This window comes from Homo sapiens, chromosome 20 (assembly GCF_000001405.40).
Source record: "Homo sapiens chromosome 20, GRCh38.p14 Primary Assembly".
NCBI lineage: Eukaryota > Metazoa > Chordata > Mammalia > Primates > Hominidae > Homo > Homo sapiens.
This window is the reverse complement of record NC_000020.11, coordinates 40,760,652-40,766,304: the sequence shown is the minus strand read 5'-3', so window position 1 is coordinate 40,766,304 and position 5,653 is coordinate 40,760,652. Positions and strand designations below refer to the sequence as shown.

At 47.3% G+C, this 5,653-nt stretch overlaps 1 annotated feature.

Annotated features, from left to right (window-relative positions):
* Nucleotides 3,061-3,561: an enhancer, noted in NCBI's record as "H3K27ac hESC enhancer chr20:39391384-39391884 (GRCh37/hg19 assembly coordinates)". NCBI's record gives its function as "activates a minimal SCP1, AML or CMV promoter by ChIP-STARR-seq in primed H9 embryonic stem cells {active_cell/tissue: H9 hESC(primed)}" and the evidence as "EXISTENCE:reporter gene assay evidence [ECO:0000049][PMID:30033119]".

Sequence of the window (5,653 nt, the reverse complement as noted above, 5' to 3'; positions counted from 1 at the left end):
TCCTGCTTCATCAGGACAGAAACAAGCCACTCACACAACCGCTGGGGACGGACCCAAAGACATCATCTGTGAGGGCCTCACTAACCTGCTGTGGGAACTGTCTGTCTGCTGCCCCTACTCTGCTGAATTATCTTTAAATCCACCCCAGGGCTTGGTAGGTCAGTTAAAAACAGACAGGGCCATGCTGGAATCTTAAAACCATGGCTGGAAAAAAGTCCTTTCCTTGAGCTTGGGAGTTTCTGCTTAAATCCTTCCTGGGTGACTCAGCCCCTTCTTGAGTAGCCTAGGCTGGCTTCACCTCCCATACCCCACTCTGGGGAGCACTGTTGAGGTCAGATTTGGCTAAAAGGGAACAGGGGGCTCTTTTCAGGAAGCGGCAGGAAAGCATTTGGGTTTGGTCTTTCCTACTACCTAAAGATGGTAATCCCACCTGTTTCCTGTAACTAGCAGGCCAGCCTCAAGTCGGGAGCTCTGCTTGGAGTTTACCTCTGTGATAGTTGGCAGGGACTGGGCCAGGGTCAATGGCTTAGGGCAAGGCTGCCTCTCAGGGCAGGTAAAGTGCCAAACCTCTGTCATTAAATGCAGGGTCTCTCCAATTTCCTTCTCCATCCTACAAAGGCACATTACAAAGGTAAAGTGCCAAACCTCTAGACTCTGAAGTCTAGCTTGGGAGGGTTAAGGGACAAAAAAGTTCCCCTTTATCTTCAGATCAGTGGTTCTCAAACTTTAATGGCATCAGAGTCACCTGGAAAGCTTATTAAAACAGAGACTGTGGCTGGGCGCAGTGGCTCACGCCTGTAATCCCAACATTTCGGGAGGCTGAGGCAGGCGGATCACCTGAGGTCAGGAGTTTGAGACCAGCCTGGCCAACATGGTGAAACCCTGTTTCTACTAAAAATACAAAAATTGGTGGGGTGTGGTGGTGGGTGCCTGTAATCCCAGCTACTCAGGAGGCTGTGGCAGGAGAATCGCTTTAACCCAGGTGGCGAGGGTTGCAGTGAGCCAAGATCGTGCCACTGCACTCACTCCAGCCTGGGCGACAGAGTGAGACTCTGTCTCAAACAAAACAACAAAACAAAACAAAACAAAACAAAACAAAAACAAACAGAAAACCAGAGATTGCAAGGCCCCAGCTTCGGAGATTCTCATTCAGTAAATCTGGATGGGGCCTGAGAACTTGCATTCTAATAGGCTCCTAGGTGATGCTGATGCGGCTGGCCTGGGGACCAGACTTTGAGGATGATCACTTTGGACATTTTTCTGTTGACTCCTCCCTTGTGGGGTGTGCCCCAGCAGGCACTAGGCTGTATTCCTACTCCACCACATGCTCCAGCTTGCTGCCGGTGGCGTGTAGGGTGACAGCCAGGGCCAGGGAGGATCAGGTAGGAGCATCAAGCTGACGAGGAATTTGTAGAAAGAAACCGGGGACAAGCTACAGATGATTATGGGAGGCAGCCATGATGCTCACCACCAAGCAGTGAGCAAATCGGAGACAAAGACCCCACTGAGGGCTCTAGAAAACTCTTTGGATGCAAAGCTGGAAGGCTGTGGGGAGCAGTGGAATGAGTACATACTTTGAAGTTTCTGCCACTTTCTAGCTGTGTGCATGTGTGATTTTGAGTAAATTACTTCTCTCTCTGCCTCAGTTTCTTCATCATTCAAGTGGGGTGAATACTACTTTCTATGACTGTTGTCAGGAAGTAATTGAGATTACAAATGAGAGTGCTCTTGGTACAATGCCTGTCATTAAATGCAGGGTCTCTCCAATTTCCTTCTCCATCCTACAAAGGTCATTATACTGGCTTAGCATGACTCCCGTCTCTCTATCTGCTTCCACTTGTCCTCTCCAGCCACTGGACCATCAGCCTACATTATCATAAAAAAGAGCGAGATTTTAATTTGTAGAATGTTTCTTTCTTTCTTTTTCCTTTTTTTTTTTTTTTAAAGAAAAGCCTAATTAGGAAGGCCGTTAAATGCCTGCAATTCCAATATAATTCTATTAAATTCTCCCTGTAAAGTTAATGTTACAGACTTTTTAACAGATGTTTTAATTAGGCATTGTTATTAAAGAGAATACTGTAGAAATTAAAACCAGACCCTAAATGGGGGAAGAAAGGCAGTTTTCTTGTGCTGGGTAAATGGTGGCAGCCGCCCAGCAAAGAGCTGTTGGCAGCGGGTCATGAAAAACATGCACAAAAGGAGAGGGAACGCTTGGCGCAATCCGCATTGCTCAGCAAGAGGGAAAAATGCCTGTGCCTGGTCCGCTCGGCCAGCACAACCTCGAGCCCAGCCAGCTTGGGAAACAGGGAGAGAAGCTAGGAAGGGTAGAGACCCCCTGGCTCAGCTTGACAGGTTTTGGGGTCTGTTCCTATTGTGGTCATTCCATTTAGGTCCATGTCCTCTGACCCTCCTGGCAGCCCACGAGGCAGAGATTACTCTTACCCATTTTACGGATGAGAAAACTGAGGCTCAGAGATATCTGATCATCTTCCCAGGTAGACACAGGAATAGACAGAGCTAGAGCTCCAATTCAGATGTCTGGTCCAGAGTCTGCCCTTTTTGTGGCACCATAGTGGGTAGTCCAGCCAGCCCCCACTGTGGGCTAAAAGACCTGATTGTTTTTTGAGAATCAGCTGACAGCCACCATCTAGAATTCTTGAAACCAATGGTGGTTTCTGCATTCGTTGCCACTGGCTGTGCCCTTCTACCTGGAAAGCAACCTCACCTTTGATGCCAGCCAAGTGAGGGGTCGCCCAATGTGTGGCTGGCTCAGGTAAGCCATCCTGCCACTGGGGATGGGAGTCATTGATTGTCATGGAGACTCCAAGCGAGACATCCAACTCCTTCTGAGATGGGCCACCCAACTCCAGATGGCTCCTGTAAGGAGACAGGAGGAAGAGGTGAGGTTGGAGAGACCTGGGTTCGAATCCTGTCTTCTTTGATAGCAACAATGAAGCCACTGGCTGATGTCGTGGGCCTCCACTCCTGAGTCTGCATTTTGCTGTCTCCTTCTCTCGGGCATTGAGCCAAGGGCCTGGGTGAGGGTGAGCGCTCCCAGGAGGCACCGAGGCTACTGAGACACCCTCTGGTGCCTCTGGTGACATGCTCAGATTTGCCTTTTCCAGGGGCTAATTTTCCTGTCCATTCTCCAAGGCTGTCAGCCTGGGATTATTCAAATGATGTTTATTTCTGTCCTGTGACCCAGATAGATCTGCCACGAGTACTTTTGTGAGAGCTTGGAAGGAAGAAATGACTGAAAGCGGGACCACTGTGTGGGTCTTATCCCTGGGACCCCTCCCAGGAAGCTCTGCAGACTCCTGCTTGTGTCCACTGGAGCTGCCACCCATTTCCCTCCCCTCTTGCTGCCTCTGTTGTCACCATGCAAGCCATCCTTCTGGGCCATGGGGAGGCCAGGGGTGCCTCTTGCTCAGGATGGTCTTTCTTGGGGCTGTTACTATGAGATCCCCGAGGTCCAGGCAATGTACTGCCTGACACTCAGTAGGTGCCCCATAGTTGCTAGATGTTGAGGGATTACTTCATCCCCCAGTCTGGGCCTCCTGAGCCTTTTGTTTCAAGGACATGGAATGGGTTTTCTCAGCCACCCCTCTTTATAGGCAGGAAGGTGCTATGAAAAGCCTGCTCCTGAATTCCAGTCTCGCCTCTCACTAGCTGAGTGAGCTTGAGCAAGTGGCTCAGCCTCTCAGAACCTGAATTTTCTCATCACTAAAGTGGGGAAGGTAATAGTGTCCAGGCCCTGGCATACTGATGAAGATGAAATGGGGCAATGTTCTTGAAAGCATCCAGTGCATAGAGGCTGGCTATAATAGGGGGTGTGCAGTGCAGTTATTGTATGTGTGTACATGTGTGTGCATACACACGTGCACACAAAATACGTATGAAATGCACATCATGGCCCCCAAAATTGGTCACATAAGTTACCTCTAGAGAATGGGTCTGAGGGTTGCTTCTTTTCTCTCCAGTTTAAATGTTTTTTAAACCGTAGCCCTGTATTATTTTTTAATTAAAAGAAAAAAGCAGCAAAATAACCAATGCAGAAACTGCTGGTGGTTTTGAGAACTCTGGTGAATGGGAATCAGCTAATTCTCAGACAACAGTCAGGTCATTTAGCCCATGGGGTGGGCTGGCTGGGCCATCTCTCTGGTTGGGGCAATTGACCCAGCTTTGGGCCCTGAGCAACTGAGTTTGAACCCTGGCTTTGTGATTTATTGGCCACTTGACTTCAGGTGAGGTTTCTCAGCCTCAATTTCCTTGTATATAAAATGGGAAGAACAGAAACTACCGGTAGGGCTGTTTTTGGGGAACTGAGAATGGGTGTGAGGCATCAGGGCAAGGATACATATGCCAGATAGGTAGCAATTCTGATGACCCTTGGGCTTTCCCATTGCTGCCCCTCCCCCAGGAGGCTGGAATTCCATGCCTCACCCCGAGGTCAGGTGAGGGCATGGAAGAATAACTCTGGGCCACTAAATCTGATGGGTGTTGTTCAGTCTTCCTTTTACTTGACATCAGCAGCATCCGCATTGCCAGCCCCTCGGCTCCTGAGACCCCCTCTTCTTCCCTTAACATTTCCCAAGTCTTCATGTGAGAAGGGAAGGAAGTGGGGGCTAGGCTGGCCTATGTGAGTCCCGCGTAGCTGGGTTGAAAAAGTGTGGGAACTTTCCTCACCATGAGAACCTGCAAGTGTAAGTCATCTGGAACAATCTGCACTTCCATCAGAAAGGATCTGGTTGAATAAGTCACACAGCCATCTCCAGAACCCCACAAACATGTTACAAGTTGGACCATGTCTTTGAGACAGGTGACATATTCCACATCAGATTAAGTGGAAAATAAATAATTAGAAAATAACATTTATCGTATAATCTCATTTTTAAAAAAATATAAGATAAAGCAATCCTTGGAGTAGCAGAGATTAAGAACTTTTCTTCTTATTTAATCTGAATTGTAAACTTGCATTAACGATATCAAGAACTACAATGACAATAATAATAAAGTTTTAAAAAAATATGAAAAGCAGCTTTATTCATAATTAGCAAAACTTGGAAGCAACCTTCAGTAGGTGAATGGATAAATAGACTATGGTACAACCAGACAATGGAATATTATACAGTCATAAAAAGAAATGAGCTATGGAGCCATTGAGACATGGAGGAATCTTAAATGCATATTACTAAGTGAAATAAGTCAACTGGAAAAGGCAACAAACAATGTGATTCCAACTCTGTGACATTCTGGAAAGGGGAAAACAATGGAGACAGTAAAAAGATGAGTGGTTGCCAGGGGTTAGGGGAGGAAGAGATGAACAGGCAGAGCACAGAGGAGCTTTAGGGCAGTGAAAGTACTCTCTCTGATACTATGATTGTGGATACACATCACTTTTCCAAATTCACAGTATATGCAACACCAAAAGAGAACCCTCATGTAAACTACAGACTCGGTGGCAATGACGTGTCAATATAGGTTCATCAATTGTAGCAAATGTATCACTGTGCTGTAGGATGTCAGTAGTAGACGTTGGGCTTATTAAGGGGGTGGGAGATACATGGAAACTCTCTGTACTTCCTGCTCACGTTATTAAAATATGAAAGGACCTTGCTCAGTCAAGTGCTGAGAGGGGTGAGTCAAGGTGCCT